The 21,660-nt window shown below is 36.8% G+C and overlaps 1 protein-coding gene across 10 annotated transcripts in view; it reads left to right on the forward strand.

Moving 5' to 3' along the window:
- UVRAG (UV radiation resistance associated) overlaps window positions 1-21,660 on the forward strand; it is a 329,023-nt gene that overhangs the window by 172,857 nt on the left and 134,506 nt on the right. For all 10 annotated transcript variants that reach the window (NR_170160.1, NR_170161.1, NM_001386671.1 and 7 more), the window contains 3 exons: window positions 15,939-16,023; window positions 19,468-19,555; window positions 20,741-20,801. Coding sequence is in view for 7 of the 10 variants with exons in the window: in NM_001386671.1 (NP_001373600.1) it covers window positions 15,939-16,023; window positions 19,468-19,555; window positions 20,741-20,801 (234 nt within the window). In the remaining 3 variants the exon portion in view is untranslated. The remainder of the gene's footprint in view (window positions 1-15,938; window positions 16,024-19,467; window positions 19,556-20,740; window positions 20,802-21,660) is intronic.

Genomic DNA, 21,660 nt, shown 5'->3' on the forward strand with positions numbered 1-21,660 from the left:
GAGCTCAATATGTGAATTTTCATTTCTTTGTTTTTTTTATTTTCTTAAAAATCAGTTTTAATGAGGTATATTTTACAATCAAATTAATCAATTTAAAATACACAGTTTGATGAGTTTAGCTAATGTATTCAGGCAGGTAGCTACCACCACAATCAGTGATAACATTTCTATCATTGTAAACAGCTTTTTGGCCTTGTTGTAGTCAGTTCTTTCCTCCATCGTTTGACCACTAGCAATTACTGATGTGCTTTCTGATACCATTTTCCTTTTCTAGCATTTCATATGAATGGAATCATACAATATGCACTTTTTATATCTGGCTCTTTTTCACTTAGCATAGTAGCTTTGGGATTTATGTGGTTGTATGTGTCAGGAATTCATCTTTTCATTGCTGAGTAGTATTCACTGTATGTACATACAACTTGTTTATACATTTACCTGTTAATGGCCATTGGGTTTGTTTCCAGTTTTGAATTATTGTGGATAAAGCTGCATAGATATTCAAGTATAAGCCCTTGTGTGGGTATATTCTCTTGGTTAAATATTAATAACTAGGTGTGGGATTGCTGGGGTATAGTAAATGTGTGTTTAACTTTTTAAAAACTACTAAGCTGTTATGCATTTTCAACTAGCAATGTATGAGAGTTTCACTTAGTCCACATCTAAACATTAATTTTAGATTTTAGCCATGTTAGTGGGTATGTAGTGGTTTCTCATTGTTTTAATTTGTATTTCCCTGATAACTATTGTGGCTGAGCATCTTTTCTTGTGCTTATCTGTTACCTGTTTCTTTCCTCTGATGAAATGTCTGTTTAGATCTTTCATCTGTTTTTTGGAAAGTGGGGAAGGGGGATGGATGGTAACGTTATTATTAAGTTGTAAGAGTTCTTTTTATATTCTGGATATGTTCTTTATCAAATATACGCTTTATATGTTTTTTCTTCCCTATCTTAACAGTGTATTTTGAGTTTATTCATCATTTTTTTTAAACTTTATTCTTTTCCTTTTTTTTGAGATGGGGTCTCACTCTTTTGCCCAGGTTGGAGTGCACTGGTGTCATCTCAGCCCACTGCAGCTTTCTGGGTTCAAGAGACTCTCCTGCCTCAGCCTCCTCAGTAGCTAGGATTACAGGCGTGTACCACCACGCCTGGGTAATTTTTGAATTTTTAGCAGAGACGTGGTTTCACCATGTTGTCCAGCCCGGTCTTGAACTCCTGACCCCAAGTGATCCGCCTACCTCCCAAAGTGCTAGGATTACAGGTGTGAGCTACCATGCCCGGCCACTTCTGGAACTTTCTTTGTGTTTGTTCACCCTCTGCATTGTGGCCTGGAAACACTCCCCATGTAGTGATTTGGAGCCGTTATAGGGCTCACGTTTCTTGTTTTCCTTCTCTCAGGAATCATTATACTAGGCTGCCTCTTATCTATTGTCTGAAAACTGTTGTTACATATAATTTTGTATGACTTTCTAGTTGTTTACAGTGGGAGGAAAATCTGATGTATGTTATTCCATCAGTCAGAAATAGAAGTCTTTTTTACCTCTATACTTGCTTTTATGAGAACACACTTTACTCATCTCTCCTTGGTTTAGTTCTTTTGGTTCTTCAAAGACATGCTCAAATACTACCTCTCCTTGAGGCTTTTTTCTCCCTCAAATGAAAGTTTCCTGCTCCTTCTTCTGTGTCCCCATAGTGTTTTGATGTCGTCTTATCTTCGCACTTATTTGGTAAGCCCTTTCAGGGCAGGGACTTTGCACTTTTATGGTATCCTTCTCAGTGCCCAACACTGAGGCCCTCAGTGAGTATTACACAGCATGAATCTTTGAGGGGCTTTCATATAGGTAATGTACCATTAAATGTAGTACATGAATTATTTAACCTTATTTTATTTGTTGCATCCTTTTGTGGTTTCCTGTTTAGTTTTTGGTGTATTTCACATAGTTGACATTGGTGGATAAATGAGATATAATAGGAAACAGAAAACCTACTGTGGCAAGAGTGTATTTGGAATGTGAATAAAGTAAGTCATTTTTAGCAGGTTTTAAAGTTTTGACCTATATGAAGTATAGTTTACATTACAAAGAATAATTTTATAAATGTGATTTTTCTTCATTTCAGTAATTTTAGAAAATAAGTTTCTAAAGGAACAGGCTTTGATTCAGAATGCCTTGTTTCACAAGCCTACTTCATTGTTTACCAGCTGTGTAACCTTGTCCAATAACTTAGTGTTATCTCTACAATGGGGTTAATAGTAATACTTAAAACTGTGTCTCACTGAGTTTTAACAGGCTTCCAAGTTCTGCTGATGTTTCTGGTCTGTGAACCACATTTTGTGTAGCAAGAATATGTATAATATGATGATCAGATGAGTTATGAAGATGAAATGGTCTCATAAAAATAGGAGCAAAACACCATCTGTTTTATTCCTATGTCATACTCTCGTGGGTTTCTGTACCTTTAAGATAAAAGTCTCAGCCCAAGATGACTTACAAAGGCCTCCAATGGCTCACCTCAATCTGAATGCTTCAACCACACAGAACTCTTTTAGTTACTTAAGTATGCTTTGTTCTATCTTACCTGCATACAGGCCTTTGCCTAAATGTTGTTTTCACCAGGAAACCATCACTGGCTCCCTTCTCTTTCTCCTCCCACCCCTAGGTTAAATGTACTACTGTGTGTTTCCATAGCACCCTATATTTTTCCATGATAGCACTTTGATTATTAGTCTATCTCCTTCTCTAGACAGATTCTGAGGGCAGGCACTGTTCAAGGACTACATTAAATACTCATATCTTTTAGGCATGGTATAGTACCTGGGATATAGTACACATAGAATAAATATTTGTTGAATGAAAGCATCGTACTTATGCTTATTGGTGTCATGTCATGGGTATCATTGCTAAAGAAAGACTTCTCTAACTTCTAGTTTATCATTCATATGGGAAGACTGATACTCTTATGAGAAAGACTGCAGAAAAAGTGTATGTTGTTTGGCAGTGATAAGTATCTGCATTCCAATACAACTTGCATATTTATAAATGAGAGTCAAAAGGAATAATGCCATTTAAAATCATGAAGCATTATGATAAAGTCCATTTGTCTTTGTTAGAATGGCCCCAAATAAATAGACAGTTGTTTTGTACATACAAGGCCTGCTTCAAAAGATTTCATCTTCTGTGAAAAGACACATTTCTTACAGTGCTTTGGAAGTACCATCAACTTTTACTGTACTTACATTGCCTGCTATCTGTGGCATATATTTCTGCATATCTTACCTTTTTTAAGATCATTAACTTTCAAAATGAAAACACTATAAGGTTGTAAAGGGTTTAGGGACTTTTGACCTTTTCTAGTAAGAGTAATAATAGTAGCAATAATGTATCCAGTACAGTGCTTATTACTATAAATATGTAATATTGTTTAATCACTACAATAACTTTATGAGGTAGATGCTATTATTATTTACCTTTTATAGCTGAGGAAACTATGTCAGGGTCAGAGAGATTAAGTAACTTACTTAAATTCATGTAGCTAATGAGAGGTGATGTTGAGATTAAAATCTACTGATTCCAAAACTGTCAATCACTGAATAATACTACATTTTTATAACTAGCATGATATATAAAACCAAGGGGTATATATTATTCTAGAATATGGTAAAAAGATAGGGAGATATAGTTCTTTAACTGTTTCTGGTTGTATATTTGCCTATTAGGATAGAAAGAGGTCCCAGGATGTCTATCCTTAGATTATAAGCAAATGAACATCTAAACAGTGATATCTATACCATTTACAAGACTGAGGTTTAATAATAATTGCTCATATTTAGAGAATATGAGCTTGTATTTATATTTTATAGAACACAAGCCGGTATTAATTGCTCTTATATATAGAATATTAGTGCCAGGAAATGTCATGTTTTCTATTCTTTATCTAATTTTGTCCTAATAGTCCTATACATTAAAGATACTATTATTATCCTTCTAATAATAAAGATACTACATATTAGTACCCAGTTTGCAGATGAGGATGATTTGTCCAAAATCACATAACAAGTTATGTGCCCAAAGCCACATGCATAGCAAGTTATGGCAGAGCCTGTGTTCAGAGTTACTGCTGCCTAACTGTGCTGCGAAGGGAGATTATAGAATTTTATAGATATCTCTTCTAGTATTTTAATTCTGACAGCCAAGTCAGTTGCACATTCTTGAATCTCTATTTTATCATGGAGAGAAAGAATGGTAATCTTCAAGTTAAATATGTATTTGTCATGGAGGGTCACAATTGTTGATTTTTAACACTGAGTTTGTACTTGAAGTGCCATTTTCTCACTTTTATATATGTTTTTGAGATGAGAATTACTTTGTATTCCCCTGGACTATTAGAATCCTTAGAAGGTTAGGATCTAATGTTGATACTTTGGTTCCTAACATAAGTAGGAGAAAGAGTGCTGCTGTTGGCTTCACTCTTATTCCCATTGCGAATGTTTGTGGGCTGTGGTGATCGGCACTGGGGAGTGGGAAAGAGGGGGATGGCTGGATACAGATAACCACATTTATTTACTAGCATAACCTGGTCTACTTTTTGGGCACCTGTGTTCTTCATAGTGGCTGTGCTAGGTAACCAGATACGTACTTGTTCTTCAATATTCTATTCTAAACATATACTATTATATGCTTGTGTTGAACATTATTCTTGTACATTTACATGAAGGTACTATTTAATGAATCTTGAGCCAAGTTAAAATATTTTGAAAGCACCATAGTCACTGGTATTTGCTCAACGAAGGTGAAAAAGGTATTTTTCTCTTGCATTTGCAGCTTTGATTTAGTTTGTTTGCTAGGGAGTAGTGAAATGATTTGCTGATATGAATATTACTAGTGCGTTCTTACATATTGTGACTGGCACTTGGTGCTTATCTAGGTACTTGGTTCTGAGTCCAGGAGCTCAGTTAGGATATAAAGTCAGTACTATATCATATTTAATTGTGACTTTGCTGCTGATTATTCTGAATGACCACAAAGGAATTATTTACTGTCTGCATCTTTTTACACATCTGTTCAGTAAGGATAGCTGCTAATAATACTGACATAGGAATTAATTTGTGTAAACATTTGGAAGAAACCAGGTGCTTATATTTTTGTTCATGAAAATCCATTGCAGCAGGATGATTTATTGGAAAGTGCCAAAAAGACAATTTTTATCCACGCTGCTGACTTGCTGAGTGGTCACATAACTCCAAAGGGCCTCATTACTTCACACTCATACGTTTTCCCTTCCTATCCCTCAAAGGCAGTGGTTCTCAACTTGTGGTCTATGGCAACTTCCAGCTGGGTCATGAGCTGATCTTTTCAGTATTAATGTTTATTAGTGTATATATTTTCATTTCTGGAAGGTATTAGTAGTTTAACTTAGGATGTTTAATAAAAACCAGATTTCCCCTCAGTAACTCAAGCCAAGTAATCTTCCCATTAATGAATTCTGTGTTGCTTTACCGGGTCTTTTGTCCTGACACAACCCCCAAATCTTTGAAAAGCAACACTCTATCAAAATTAGTTTGCTGGAAACTTAGCTCAAAAAATGGTATGAAATGTTGGTTTTATGGAAGTGTGTTCAGTAGAATGTAGGTTTCTTATTGTATTAGTCCATTTTTGCATCACTATAATGAAATACCTGATGCTGGGTAATTTATATAGAAAAGAAGTTTAATTGGCTTACGGTTCTGCAGGCTGTACAGGAAGCATGATGCCAACATCTGCTCCAGGTGAGAGCCTCAGGAAGCTTTCGGTCATGGTGGAAGGTGAAGCCAGTACAGGCGTATCACATGGTGAAAGTGGAAGTGAGGGGGGTGGGGAGAATTGCCATACTCTTTTAGACAGCCAGGTCTCCTGTGAACTACCAAAGCAAGAACTCACTATCACCAAGGGGATGGCATTAAGCCATTTGTGAGGGATCCATCCCCATGTTCCAGTACTTCCCATTATTCCTCCCCTCCAACATTGAGGATCACATTTCACACAAGATTTGGAGGAGCACACGTCCATACCATATCACTTATAAACAAATGTTGATAAAAACCCAAGAATACTTCAGTGGTGCCTGGGAAGTGGTATTAACTTTATAAAAGGAGAGTTCTCCAAACTTTGTGGGAAGAAGCTACTTTTTAATACAATTACTTTCTTGATAATAAGGATAACCATACAGTTAAAAAGTGCTTATACAGAAGTTCTTATGTTTGATCCTTAAAGCATCTCTGAAAGCTAAGTAGGGCAGATGTTACCCTCATTGTATATGTGAGGTACTGGGAAGTTAAATGACTTGGCCAGGAACACACAGACAATTAGCAGCAAAGTTGAGATGTGGACCCAAATTCAGCACAGATTTCAACTCTAAATTCTGTGCTTTTCTCAGTATTCCATACTACCTAAAACTTTGCAAAACATTCGTTTGAATCCCACATAAATCACATGAAGTAGATAACTTTTATTGAAATCCTGTAACATGCCAGATATTTTAGTTTTGGTATATTATTAATTCTTAAAATAGTCTTAAGATATCTTTTTTACCTTCTTTTCCCAAATGAGGAAAATTAGGGCTCAGAGACACTTCCCTGAGGTCCCAATTAAGTGACAGATCCAAATTCAAACATTGGTTTCTCTTACTCCAAAGCCTGTCTTGTTTCCACTAAACGAAACGTCATTACTGCTTTCTCTAGTATGTGTCCGGGTCAACTCACAGTTTGCTGTTTTTCTATTTGGCCTGTGAGGTGTTAGCTAGAGAACTTTGTTTTGCTTTGTTCCTTTTTATTATAGTATGGCTGAAGTGAATTTTCTCCAAAGATTGCTTTGATTTGGGTCTGCCATTTTCCAACTTTGTCCTTAGACAGGTCTTTCAACTTTTTGAGCTTATTTCCTCTGCATAAACAAAACAAAACAAAAAATTCTGAATTATACAGTCAAGATTTCTTTCAGCTCTATTAAGATTTTGGTTATCTCAGAAAGGTAGGACTGGTGGAAATGATGGTGATCTGTTCACCTTTTTTAATGCCTCTCTTTATTATTGTTATTATTATAAGTTTAATGCTGATGATATATTTTCCAGCATTTTATAAAAGTTTTTTTTTTTTTTAATCTTTGACCCAAGTGTGTCTATGATTGTTGCCTGTTTAATACTGAAAAGCCATTTGGTGGGAATGACCTATTAGAATTCTGTAACTAGCCATACTTTTCTCCTATTTTACTTTGGCAATTAAGAGCAAAAACAAACACATTATTTTGGTGGCAGTGAATAGGAGAGGTCAGATATGTCAGATTTCATTGCTCAGATTTGGGGAAATAAATTACCCTTGGTAATTTCAGTGAATAAAAAGTTGTTGCCAAAATAAATATTTTATGTGAAGTTCCCATCAACTGTAATAGTTTCTTATTGTCATTTTGAAAAAAAAAAAAAAAGAGTAATTAAGGTGACCTACATATGTAGTTTGTTCTATTTAATTAGCTTCTGCTTGGTTAGTAAATTACTGTGTCCTTTTGGTCTGCATCTCAGATAAAAGAAGAATCACACAGTATATTTAAATTGATACTTTAATTTCTATCAAAAGCTCATAGGTTTCTATTTGAAGTTGTAAATACATTATTAAGTCTTGCATAACAATTTTTTCCTTTTCTTAGGTCATACAGTTACTTATGAAAAGTTACTTCTCAGTTTTTAAACTCAAAATATATTTATTTGAAATGATGGCAAAATTTAAATTTTATTAGTTTATATGTGTTCTGATTTTTTAAATAACCATCTGACAGAAATTCTTAAATAGGCATCTTCAAAATTATTAATATCTAACTTTCAAAAAAAAGTCTGGACCTGAGGACAGATTCTCCCTAGGATTTATGCTATTAGCAATAAAAGCCAGACAACTTGTGGCAGGGGTATTTTGGGGGAAGAGGTAGGTAAATATGAGTCCTGAGCAAACTTCTGATTTTATTTCAGTTTCCATGTAAGTATAGTAATTTATTCCAGTAATGTCTTATTTGTTTGTAGGAATGGCAAACTGTCATATTTTAATCTCTGTTTCCCATGGGAGGTATAGATGTGTAGAAATATGCCACCTGACACAATTGTATATTGGTTTGTCATAATTTTTTCTCCACTTACTCTCAAAATGCACTGGAAGTAACATTTACAAAAAAAAAAAATACATTTACATTTAGGTGGTTGAAGATAGAAGTAAAAAGAGAGCATATGACTTGTAAAGGAAGTAGAAGGAGCATTGATTTTTATTTTTCTGCATATATGCCTTTGTCAATTCATTTATTCATAATTTGTGGAACACTTTCAAAGAACCAGACATTGCGATTAGAGTCAACATGGCAGGTGTGATAAATATGTAACCGAAGTATATAGAGGATACTGTAGGAACACAGAATATAAACATGATAATCAGAACAACAGGTACAGGAGGTGACACACTGAGCCTAGAAGAATATATAGTATTGTTCTAACTAGGGGGAGAAGGTGAGACCTTCCAGGTAAAGGGAGCAGTTTATACAGAGGCATGGAGGTAGCTTAGGGAATTGTGAGCAATTCCAGTAAAGCTTACTGGGGGCAGGCACAATAATGCAAATGTTAAGAATGAAATTCTCCCCATTTTACAGATGAGGAACATGAAGTTCAGAGAAGTTGAAACTTGTCTAGAGTCTTGAAAGTAGCATAGGTAGGATTTCAACCTAGATCTTTCTGATTCATAAGTCCATGGGCTTTCTAAATACAGTTCACTGCCTTCCATAGAATCTGCTTATTGTTCTTAAGAACTAATATTAGCTCTGACCTCAGCTGTCAAGCCAATTGTGTAGAGGTATGACAGATATCGTTTGTTTTACATTGCCTGTTAATAAGGAAGCCTATCAGTTCTTTAAGGGGAGAAATAAAAATACTCTCTTAGCACTAAATGCAGAGAATAATTTAGTTTCATATGTGCAATATATTAAATATCATAATGAAATAAAGTCAGTTGTAATTTTGCAAAAGTTACAGCAAGAAATATCTGTTAACCCTTGAGAAAGGCAGCATCATAAATCATAGTATAGAAAAGGCATTTCTGCAGGGAAGGAAGCTAAAGTACTCCAAGTATATTGCTTTTTGGTCATCTGACTTAATGTGGAAAACCCAGAAGAATGACAATTTATTGGTTTTAACTGTAATTTTGACAGGAGCTGGCCATTGGCCAGTCTCAGACCAAACTCTGGTGAGAGAGAACCAAGAGTCTGTGTTTTGTTTTGTTGCTGGAAGCAAGATTCATAGTCTTTAGCTATTATATTTATAGGAGCCAACATTGACATTTTGCTGTTAAAATTATATTGCCTGACTTGTGTTCTTGCTGAACAGAGAGGCTATCTGATTTAACAGAGTAGAACATTGATATATGCCTGGACAGGGTCAAAGCAGTTTTGGAAGATGGTAAACCAAGCTCCGGCATTTTTGTTCCCTCTCTCCCAATGACCTATTGATGTGATAATAAATATACATGTATAAAGAATGAAACCATGGTAATGGTAGAAACAAAAGAGGATGTCATTGGGATAGCAAAGGTTTTGGCACAGTTCTCCAAGATACAAAGTAGATAGGACTGTTTTGATGAATAAACTAAAGTAGAGAAAAACTGCAGCCTAGAACACAAATAGAAACGGCTGCAGGTAGGGTTCCTGATAGAACCATCAGAGGCTTCAAGCTTGGAATTTGCCAGTATTGAGATCAAGAATTAAGTAGAGCAATAATCAGGGTAATTGAGCCTGTTGGCCCATTCTCCTTCTTGTGTGCATTTGGAGCAGCTTTCTATAACATTTGCTGTAGCTGCTTTCTAAACATAATGGATTCCTGACCTGCTTAGGTCCCACGGTATAAGTGTTTGACATGGTAGAAAGTTGCAGTAGAACTTAAAGTGACTGGACTTTTATCGCCAACCCAGAGGAAAACATGAAAGACAACTCTACTCAAGAGTGAAATACCTACCCCAAATAAAATCCCAGTGTGAAGCTCCCTTGACAGTTGCAGTAATTTGAAGTAAAAGTATACCTTCTCCCAGCATATATACCCAGAAGGAAAGCCTAGTTGTCAACAGGACCAGCTCACTTATACTAATGGCACTAAGGGGTGAGGCTTTTTATGGAAATAAATCTCATAGCTCCAGAGGAAACCTATGCCAGTTGTCTATACTAATCAGTCTAATCACTTATTCATGGGTTTGAAAGGAGCACTAAGGATCATCAGATATTTGAGGAAAACAGCATGAATGAGACCTAGTTGAATAAACAGAATAGCTGACCCAAAATAAACAGACAATACAAAGAATGGAGAACTTTTAAAAAATCAAATTAATATCCTCAGATTTTCCTTCCAGCCTCTGCCTAAGATGTAGGTGAAAGGAGTTTCACTTCTACCCTGAGAATAAAGAAAAAAAAACACTGGATAATATACAAAGTCATAACTTTTCTTAAATCCATCAGAAAACTAGGATCTCAAGGCAACGAAGTAGCTTGAGTGTAAGGAAAGACAGACAACCTCCAAGGAGAGGTAGGATGTGAGCACTGATTACTAATGGTAGAGCATGGGAAGAAGTTGGGGGCTGCTGTGTAATAAGGTGAAATAATTGAGCTAAAGCTTTTAACAAATCGTTAATGACCAAGTGTAGACTAGTATGTGACTACGGCAGATATAAGGCAGTTTTTACTAGCTTGCAGTTTCTTCTGCATAGACCTCTTTTGGATATTCACAAGAAAGATTGAGGACAGGTTAGGAAATCTTTGTTCTTCTGCAGGTAATGTGTCTTTTTTCTATGGCTGCCTTGGACATTTTCTCTTCATTTCTTGTCTTCAGCAGTTTGAATATGATGGTCTGGGGTGTGGTGGAGCAAGAAGGAGGGAGGAAGGGAATATGTGTGTTTTCAGGTGGATCACCTGAGGTCAGGAGTTCAAGACCAGCCTGGCCAACATGGTGAAACCCCATTTCTACTAAAAATACAAAAATTAGCCAGACATGGTGGCGGGTGCCTGTAATCCCAGCTACTGGGGAGGCTGAGGCAGGAGAATTGCTTGAACCCAGGAGGCAGAGGTTGCAGTGAGCTGAGATAGCACCACTACACTCCAGCCTGGGTGACCGGGCAAGACTCTGCCTCAGAGAAAAAAAAAAAAAAAGTCAACTTTCTAAGGCAAAAATAATGGTGTTTGTGGGCTTATAGCATACATAAAGTAAAATGTATGAAGAATTTAAAAACTGGGAAAAGGAAGAATTGAAAGTATACTTTTTTCAGTTGTTTTTTTGTTTGTTTATTTGTTTGTTTTTTGAGACAGAGTCTCACTCTGTCACCCAGGCTGGAGTGCAGTGGTGCAATCTCGGCTTACTGCAACCTCCACCTCCTGGGTTCAAGTGATTCCTGCCTCAGCCTCCCGAGTAGCTGGGATTACAGGCGCACACCACCACACCCGGCTAATTTTTGTATTTTTAGTAGAGACGGGGTTTCACTATGTTGGTCAGGCTGGTCTCGAACTCCTGACCTTGTGATCTGCCCGCCTTGGCCTCCCAAAGTGCTGGGATTACAGGTGTGAGCCACCGTGCCCAGCCATATTTTTAGTTTTTTTATGCTCTACATGAAGTGGTATAATATTACAAGCTGAATATTTCTAATCAGAAAATCTGAAAGCCAAAATATTCCAAAATTTAAAACGTTTTGGGTGCCAACATGATGCTCAAAGGAAATGCTCTTTGGAGCATTTCAGATTTCAGATTTTAGGGTTTAGGTTGTTGAACCAGTATGTATAATGCAAATATTCCAAAATCTGAAAAAAAATTAAATCTAAAACACTTCCCATCCCAAGCATTTCGGATAAGGTATGCTCAACTTGTTTTTGAAGGTAGACTATGCTTAATTAAAGATACATTTTGTGAACTCCTGGGCAACCAATAAACATTTTTAAAGAGCTTAAAAAATAAGCCAATAGTGAAGAAAAATGAAATACTGAAAAATACTCAATCCAATAGCATTTAAAAAGAGAGAGAAAGGAACAAAGAAGAAATGGAACATACTGAAAACAGCTAGCAAAATGGTAGATTTTAATCATAACAATGTTTATATTAGGTGTAAGTAGTCTGAATATTCTAGTTACAAAAGGGATTGTCCAGATTTGATTTACAACAAAACAAAAAACAAGACCCAAATAAATACTATCTACAAGAAATCCACTTTGAATATAAAGGTAGATATATTCCCAGGTGTGGTGGCTCACATGTGTAGTCCTAGCACTTTGGGAGGCCAAAGCAGGAGGATTGCTTGAAGCCAGGAGTTCGAGACCAGCCTGGGCAACATGGTGAGACTCCATCAACACACACAAAAAAACTTAAAAATTCACCAGGCATGATGGAGTGCACCTGTAGTCCTAGCTACTTGGGAGGCTGAGACAGGAGGATTGCTTGAGTTGAGGAGTTGGAGGCTGCAGTAAGCTGAGATTACACCATTGCACACTGCAGCATAGCCTGGGCAACAGAGTGAGACCCTGTTTCTTAAAAAAAAAAGGAAAAAAAGAAAAAAGTTAGATAGATTAAAAGTTAAAGAATGGAAAAAGATGTACCATGCAAATAACAGTCAAAAGAAAACTGTAGTGTCTATATTAATATCTGGCAAAGTAGACTTCAAAACAAGGATTACTACCTGGAATAAAGAGGGATATTACATTTTGGTGAAGAGGTCAGTTCACCAAAAGACGTAACAATTCTAAATATGTGTGAACATAGCAATATTATTTTAATACAGATAAAGCAAAAATAGATAGAACTGAAAGGAGAAATAAGCAAATGCACAATTATAGTTAGAAACCACAACACTCATCCTCAGTGATAAAGACAAGTAGAGAGAAAATCAGTTAAAAGACATTACTATCAATTTTCTTCACCTAATTGATAGCATACCACTCCACTGAACACTAGCAGAATCTGCATTTCTTTCAAGTATACATGGAACATTCAGTTAGACCACATTTGGTACCATAAGACAAACAAATACAAAATAATTAAAATCATACAAAGTATGTTTTCTCACCAAAACAGAGTAAACTGGAAGTTACTAACAGAAAAATGTCTGGAAAATTCCAAATATTCCACAATTACACAATATATATATCATAAACCACGGGTCAAAGAAGAAATCACAAGAAAATTGGAAAGTATTTTGAAATGAATGAAAATGAAAATACATTTGAAGTTTGAGGTAAATTTATAGCATTTCATGCCAATATTAGAAAAGAAGGTCTCCAGTCAATAATCTAAGCTTGTACCTTAACAAATTAGAAAAGAGGAGCAAATTAACTAAACCCAAGTCAAATCGAAGGAAGGAAATAATAAAGGCCACTAATCAGTGAAACTGGAAACTGAAAGAGTAGAGGATATCAATGAAACCAAAAGGTAGTTCCTTGAAAAGATCACTAAAATTGATAAACCTGTAGCCATATTAACTAAGTAAAAAGAGAGAAAATAAGAATTACCAATATCAGGAATGAGAGGGGACATCACTACAGATCCTACAGAAATTAAGATTATAATGTAGTATTTTAAAAAACATGATGGCAGCATCTCACAAGGACTTTAGAGGCAGGTTGAAGAGAGTCCCACTGGTTGAATCTGGGATCACTTAAGCACCAAATAATTATGTACAGTAATGAGTTATAAATCATTGAAAAATAAAAAGGAGTTAATGATTCTTTACTGATAATGGATAGTTAATAGAGAAGATGGGGGGGCTTCTGCTTAGAGAAGAATGCTGAGTGCTGACTGATGATTATGGAGGAATTACTGAAGTTGGAATATTATTTTTCAGCATGTTTAGTAAAGATTGATTTAAACAGAAACCATTAATCAAGCTCATTCTAGGGAGAAATTTATATGAGAAGCAGGACGTATGCATGCTCTTAAACATGGACATCATTGCTTCCAGATGTGATACCCTTAGAAGGACACAACATCAGTCATGTAGTATTCAGGTTGGTAATATAAAACCTGAACAACCCCTGTAGAGCTTGAGTATACCATTGCATCAGTATTATTACTTATTTTGAAGTGACTTTTAGAATTTAGGTTGAGTTTTCTGGAGTATCTTCAAATACTTAGTTCTTCTCTATCTGAGCCTAAATAACCCAAACTGCTTCAGTTTTATTCCAGAGCCCACTCCTATGGAACCAATAAGCTGTATTACCTTTCATAGAGAAATGAATGTGGTATGTTACATTTTGTTAGCTGATTGGGATATTTTTTTTAATTTCCTTTCTACCACATTGCAAGGAGTTTTCTTGAGGGGAGGTCATGTAATAACACATTCTAGAGTCTTCTGAACTGAGGAAGGGGACACTCATTTGTGTTTTGAAGACCAGATCTGTCTTTGGTCCCTATTTGTGGTCTTGTTAACATTGAGTTGAGGCAGCCTAAATTATCTGGGATGAAGAATGATACTGCACGTTTCTCTAGTGGTAGAAGAATTCATATACTTTCTGATGAAGTATGTGGGGATAGAGGGTGTCAACCTAAATGTCTTAAAAAATCACTAAGGTGAAGATTTGGGAAGGAGTTATATTGTGGGCTAAAAAGTTAAGTTGTGTTCCTTGGTTAAATTCTGTTGGGGTCAGAGTTCCCAACTTACTGGTCTTCATAGTATGTTGAAAGAGAAGAGAAGGGTGCTTAAATATGTTGGGAAGGCCGGGCACTGTAGCTCACACCTGTAGTCCTAGCTCTTTGGGAGGCCACGGCAGGCGGATGGCTTGAGCTCAGGAGTTCAAGATCAGCCTGGACAACATGGTGAAACCCTATCTTTACAAAAAAATACAAAAATTAGTTGGGCATTGTGACATGTGTCTGTTGTCCCAGATACTTAGGAGGCTGAGGCAGGAGGATCACCTCAGCTTGGGGAAGTTGAGGCTACATTTAGCTGTCATCATGCCACTGTATTCCAGCTTGGGTGACAGAAACCCTGTCTAAAAAAAAAGAAAAAAAGAATTGAGGTATGAGGGTATCATTTAAAATGTGAAATATTCCTGTAATTCACATTCATGGAGTTAAATTTTGTACAGCCATAACTCAGACTATCTGTCGTCATGTAAAAATAGTTGAAAAATCAGAATACACATTTCCTATACACTATGATTTTCACGAAAATACTGATTTTTTTTTTTTTTTTTTTTTTTTTTTTTTTGGAGACAGAGTCTCGTTCTCTTGCCCAGGCTGGAGTGCAGTGTCATGATCTTGGCTCACTGCAACCTCCACCTCCCAGGTTCAAGCGATTTCCAGCTAATTTTTGTATTTTTAGTAGAGACGGGGTTTCACCATGTTAGCCAGGCTGGTCTCGAACTCCTGACCTCAAGTGATCTGCCAGCCTTGGCCTCCCAAAGTGCTGGGATTACAGGCATGAGCCACCGCACCTGGCCTAAAATAATGATATTTATGAGGAAGATGACGGTTCATAAAAACTCCTTTATTTATGAACTATATTTTAGTAGTCAAAATACAGGTACTTTTTTACTCTTTTTTAAAATATACTTTCAGTAATGTTATTCCGTAGCATTTTTGGTTGGAAAGGAATTAATCACTCATTTTTTTAAAGTGAAGTCTGAATTTTGATATCTTATCAATTGCTGACCATCTTTCTCAGTCATTAATTGAGAAATATCTATAGGCAGAGAGTCTTAGGCGTATACTCTTAGGCTTCTGCCAGAGGCTGGACTTATGTGAAAACTGGACCAATAGGGAAGTTTATTCTAGCTACTCTCCCCAAAAAATCTCTGTACTCAACCCACTTTCCCTAACTCTTTTTATTTCCCTCTCACAGTCAGGGATTTGGCTTGGCCTCTTTGGTTGTGATTGAGTAATCCTATGTTACATATGGAATTATCTCCTTCCTTTTCTTTCTAGGAAGTGCATTTTCAGCTGAGCACCTCAAACTTCAACTCCAGAAGGAATCCCTAAATGAGCTGAGGAAGGAGTGCACTGCAAAAAGGTAAATGCACACTGAGAAGAATTGCTGTGAGTGTGGAGTTTACTGCGAGGATAGATTTGAAAAAGTAGCATTCTTTAAAGCTGCTGGTATTAATTTATAGCCCATATACCTCAGTACCACATTCGTTTATTCAACACATATTCATTAATTAAGCACCTACTGTGTGTCATGCACTGTGCCAGAGGTCAGTTATGAAAGCTCCTAGTATGTAGTTATAATCAGAAACATGAACCCTATTCAAGTTTCTCAGGCCACAGCATCGTGGTTTAATGTTTGAATTTCTTCCTTCTGTCTTCTACATGCGGTTTAGCTTATAGGTTTTTTTTCAATAATTTTTTCAGATTTACTTCTGCTTCTTGTTAGCTCATTTGGATTACTTCAGCAACTAGATTATCTCTCTAACATCAGTCTCTTCATCTTTCCAGATTGTTCTCCATGCTACGATCAGACCTCTCCTCTTAAAATACCATTTTTACCTTATTTTTTATCTTCTTTTTTTAATGTGGAGAAACATTTCATTCATTCATTCATTCATTCATTCATTCATTCATTCATAGACAGGGTCTCACTCTGTCACCCAGGCTGGAGTGCAGTGGTGCAGTCGTAGCTCACTATGGCCTCGAACTTCTGGCCTCAAGTGATGCTCCACCTCAACCTCCCAAAGTGCTGGGATTACAGGTGTGAGCCATCATGCCTGGCATTTTTATCTTCTTAATATGGTGATTCTTTTGCTTAACTTTCAAATAGCCTGTAATAAATTGGCACCTTGCAACTGTAGTTAATTTTAGTCGCTCTCCCAACATTCGTTTAACAAATGCCAATAGTTTTTCTCTTCATTTTTTCCAACATATGCTTAATTCGTTGGTACCTCTGTTCTTTTGGTCATCTTCACTTGCTTTTCCTGGAAAATCCATCCATCATGCACTTTTCTTCAAAAAACTTTAGCAGTTGGGGATTCAAAAATGCTAGACTGGCCGGGCATGGTGGCTCACACCTGTAATCCCAGCACTTTGGGAGGCCGAGGCAGGCAGAGCATGCAGTCAGGAGATCAAGACCATCCTGGCTAACACGGTGAAACCCTGTCTCTACTAAAAATACAAAAAATTAGCCAGGTGTGGTGGCGGATGCCTATAGTCCCAGCTACTCGGGAGGCTGAGGCAGGAGAATGGCGTGAGCCCGGGCGGTGGAGCTTGCAGTGAGCCGAGATGGCGCCACTGCACTCCAGTCTGGGCGACAGAGCGAGACGCCATCTTAAAAAAAAAAAAGTGCTAGACCTATAGAAAACCATAGAGATTATCTATTCCAATTCTCTCAATTTGCAGATAGGAAGTCAATGCTCTGGTAAGTTACTGTTTGTCCAACTCACTAGCAAAGCCAGGACTAGATCCCGTTGTCTTCAGTGCTGTTTTAGATAACTAAAAAACCAGTGATTTTCGTACTGTTACACACCACTCAATACAACACTTTTAACATTAGATTCTCCAGCAGACCCTCACTGTATGTCTTAGAATTTCTCACTCTGTCTTCCTGCAAATAGTATCAGATCCCACAGAATTAAGGACTCATTCCCACAAGACTGCCTCACCACATCAGGTGCCATTTGGCAAGCCCCAGGTTGTGACCTGTGCTTCTGATCGACCTGCTTTAAATAGAGGTTCCCATAACCCACTCCTTGGATTCGATTAATTTGCTAGAGCAGCTCACAGAACTCAGAGAAACATTTACTTAACCCTTACTGGTTTATTATAAAGGACATTACAAAAGATACCGATGAGCAAGATGGAAGGCATGCATAGGGCAAGGTATGGGGGAGGGAGCATGGAGCTTCCATGCCCCGTCTGTGCACATCAATCTCCAGACACTGCCAGTCTGGAAGCTCATTAGATCTTGTTGTGCAAGATCTCCAGCCCTCTTCTCAGAGTTTGGTGGGTGGGGAAGAAAGTCCAACCTTCTAATCTCTTGGTTTTTCTAGTGACCAGTTCCATCCTGAGGCTGTCTAGGAGCCCCTGCCTTAAGTCATCTCATAGCATAAACTGTGGTGTAATCAAAAGGGGCTCATAATGAATAGCAAAAGACACTCTTATCGCTCAGGAAATTCCAAGGTTTTTAGGTGCTCTGTAATAAGAACCGGGGGCAAAGACCATATATATGTCATGTTATACTTTGATCTACAGTTTCTCCTAAATTCCTTTTGTTCTTAAATTCTTGACACAGTTGATCAGGCAACTTACTTTACAGGTATTTTATGTATTGATCATGTTTCTTAAGTAGTGCAAGAAAAGAGCTGGTGCCAGGCAAGGTGTCTCATGCCTGTGATCCCAGCACTTTGGGAGGCTGAAACAGGCAGATAGCTTGAGCCTATGAGTTTGAGACCAGCCTGGGCAACATGGTGAAACACTGTCTCTACAAAAAATACAAAAATTAGCTCAGCATGGTTGGGCATACCTGTAGTCCCAGCTTCTCAGGAAGCTGAGGTGAGAGGATCAGCTGAGCCCGGGAAGGTCGAGGCTGCAATGAGCCAAGATTGTGCCACTGTACTCCAGCCTGAGTGTTAAAGTGAGACCCCGTCTCAAAAAAAAAAAAAAAAAAAAAAAAAAGAGAGAGAGAAGGGTAATTTCATACTATAGCTTTTTATTTGTTGTTTTTACTTTTTTTCTTACAGTCCAACATATTGGTTTTTGAGGTAATTATAATATGTAATTGTGAGTGAAATATAGAATACTTTTTGAGGAAATACCATCCAGATCTTTCTTGAAATCAAATTGGCCTCATTAAATTGACTGTGAAATCTTGGTCACATTACTCAGACTCTCTAAATATTGTTTCCTTGTTTATAAATAGATATAACAGTATCAACCTGCTAGAGTTGTTAGAATAAATAAGGCCATTTGTAGATGCCTAGTGAATGATTATTTGTACCCTTTACATTTCTTTTTTTTCAAAGACAAGGTCTTGCTCTGGTGCCTAGGCTGGAGTGCAGTGGCATGATCAGGGCTCACTGCAGCTTCAACCTCCCAGGCCCCAGCAGTCCTTCTACATCAGCCTCCCAAGTAGCTGGGACCGCAGGCATACGTCACCAAGCCAGGCTAATTTTTTTATTTTTGTAGAGACGGGGTCTCCCTATATTGCCCAGGCTGGTCTTGAACTCCTGGGCCTCCCAAAGTGCTGGGATTATGGGAGTGAGCCACCACTCCCAGCCCCCTTTACATTTCTTAGCATGGTACTAATCACACACAGTAGCACTCAGTATATAGTTAGCTTGATTGATACTATTTGGAGATAGGTCAAGACTTACGGTAACTATTATTTATGCTTCTACTTCTGAGTTTCTGTGGCCTATTACAGACAGTATAATCTTTCTTTGGATTAATTGTGTGGAAATAAATGTTACAAAGCATGCAAGCATATATTTTTTAATAAATGTATTTTTTCTTTCCTCATTAGAGAACTCTTCTTGAAGACTAATGCTCAGTTGACAATTCGTTGCAGGCAGTTACTCTCTGAGCTTTCCTACATTTACCCTATTGATTTGGTAAGTTTCAAATTTTCTGAAAATATTTTTCGTTTTGAAAAGATGATTTCTGTATGACATTTCCTCTCAATGAAAAAACTCATTGCTTTAGGCTTAATCATATGCTCTGTCATGATTCATTCAGGAGCTAATGTCTATTTAAAACATAGATTTAGACTTGTTTGGCCTTAGGTCCTACTATTTCATTTATATCACTTTGGTGGTGGGATGCACTCATCATCTGAAAGACTGCCAAATTATTTTTGGTTTCTTTAGGATCTTTTTACTTAACCACATTATCCATTATCACCACTTTTTTTTTTTTGAGACGGAGTTTCGCTCTGTCACCCAGGCTGGAGTGCAGTGATGCGATCTTGGCTCACTGCAAGCTCCCCTTCCCGGGTTCACGCCATTCTCCTGCCTCAGCCTCCCGAGTAGCTGGGACTGCAGGCGCCCGCCACCACGATGCCTGGCTAATTTTTTTGTATTTTTAGAGAGACAGGGTTTCACCACGTTAGCCAGGATGGTCTCGATCTCCTGACCTCGTGATCCACCCACCTCAGCCTCCCAAAGTGCTCGCATATCAGGTGTGAGCCACTGCACCCTGCCCATTATCACCATTTCTGACATACACATGCAAATATATGTGCACTGCTTTAAAAATATGATTGATAATTTTCATGTATTAGTGTTACTTAAGATATTCCTGGGGTAACTGTCAGGCTGTTAGGTTTTTGAGCCTAGTTTCTTAGAATGAATGAAAAAAGGAAAACTTCAATAAAATTGATTAGGATTATTTTTCAGAGAACTAAATCTGCTAAATTTGATAGTTTTCTTTTTAATGAAAATTTGTTTAAAAGACTAATTTTCAGAGAAGAAAGCTAATAGGATTTGAGTTTGCTTATAGAATCTTATTAAACCATTTATATATGTGAATGAAATAAGGATATTTTTATGATGATAATTTTACATGGCTTTTTCCTTGGACATGATGTCTTAAATGTTATTATAGAAAATTTCAAGTATATGTAAATGTAGGGAGAGAGTAGAATGAATCACCATGTACTCATCATCCAGCTTCAACAATTATGATAATACTTGGAGTTTAGAACAGTGTTTTGAGTCAGCACCGACCTGCTGATCTGAGATTTAACTTAGAGTTTCTTTGCTTTATTTATTAATTTTATTCTTTAATTAAATTCACAGAATGAACATAAGGATTACTTTGTATGCGGTGTCAAGTTGCCTAATTCTGAGGACTTCCAAGGTATTTTATTTTTTATTTTGAAGATTTGTTATATATTAATATATGGAAATAGAATATCTTGAAATGCTGGTTGCCTAGCACTTTATCCAAAGGAATTTTTGGACTTTCTGTCCTTTCCCAATTGCAAGTATGTATATCAGACTCCTTGATGGGAGATAGAATGTTAGGTCTGATCATAGAAAAATAATTACTGAACCTTATATTAGAAATTTAAAAGAAAATAGTTTTTAAATGGGCTTTAAGCAAATTAGACAGTCAGGTTCTTAAGAATACAAATAATCGCCCTTCCTTTTGGTTTGATTTTTATGAAAAATTTGTGTATGGTTGGGAGCAGAGGAACAGCAAACAAAATCTGTTCTGTTATTATTTAGAAAGTCATATTACTGCTGACCTGAAAAGTATTTGAAAATTTAATTTTGTGAAGTTTCCATTACCACAGGCTTAATTTGTTATACTATCATTTCTGTTATCTTTTAACTAAAAATAAAGAAAGAAATTACATTAAAGGTATTATAGAATATGATCCTTAGTAATTTCTATATTTTAAAATCTTTTGTTTTTCCTACTCTGCAAATATTCCAAAGAATTTATTTTCTTTGGCATATCAGTGATCATTTTTATTGTTAGCCAAGTGGGTTCTTTTCCCTTAGCCTAAACAATGCTTTGAGGCCTACTAAATATCTTTATAGATTATTCCCAAGCCAGCGTTTTATCTACTTGAGAAGTTACTAAAGAAGAGAGCATTGCTAGTTTTGATCAGGACTTTCATTTTCTTATAAAGAAGCTGTTGTTATTGGTGATCATTTAACATCTAAGAGTGTTTTGTTACCCTGTTGGGCCCTTACCTGTAAGTACTTTG

This window comes from Homo sapiens, chromosome 11 (assembly GCF_000001405.40).
Source record: "Homo sapiens chromosome 11, GRCh38.p14 Primary Assembly".
In the NCBI taxonomy this organism is placed as follows: Eukaryota; Metazoa; Chordata; class Mammalia; order Primates; family Hominidae; genus Homo; species Homo sapiens.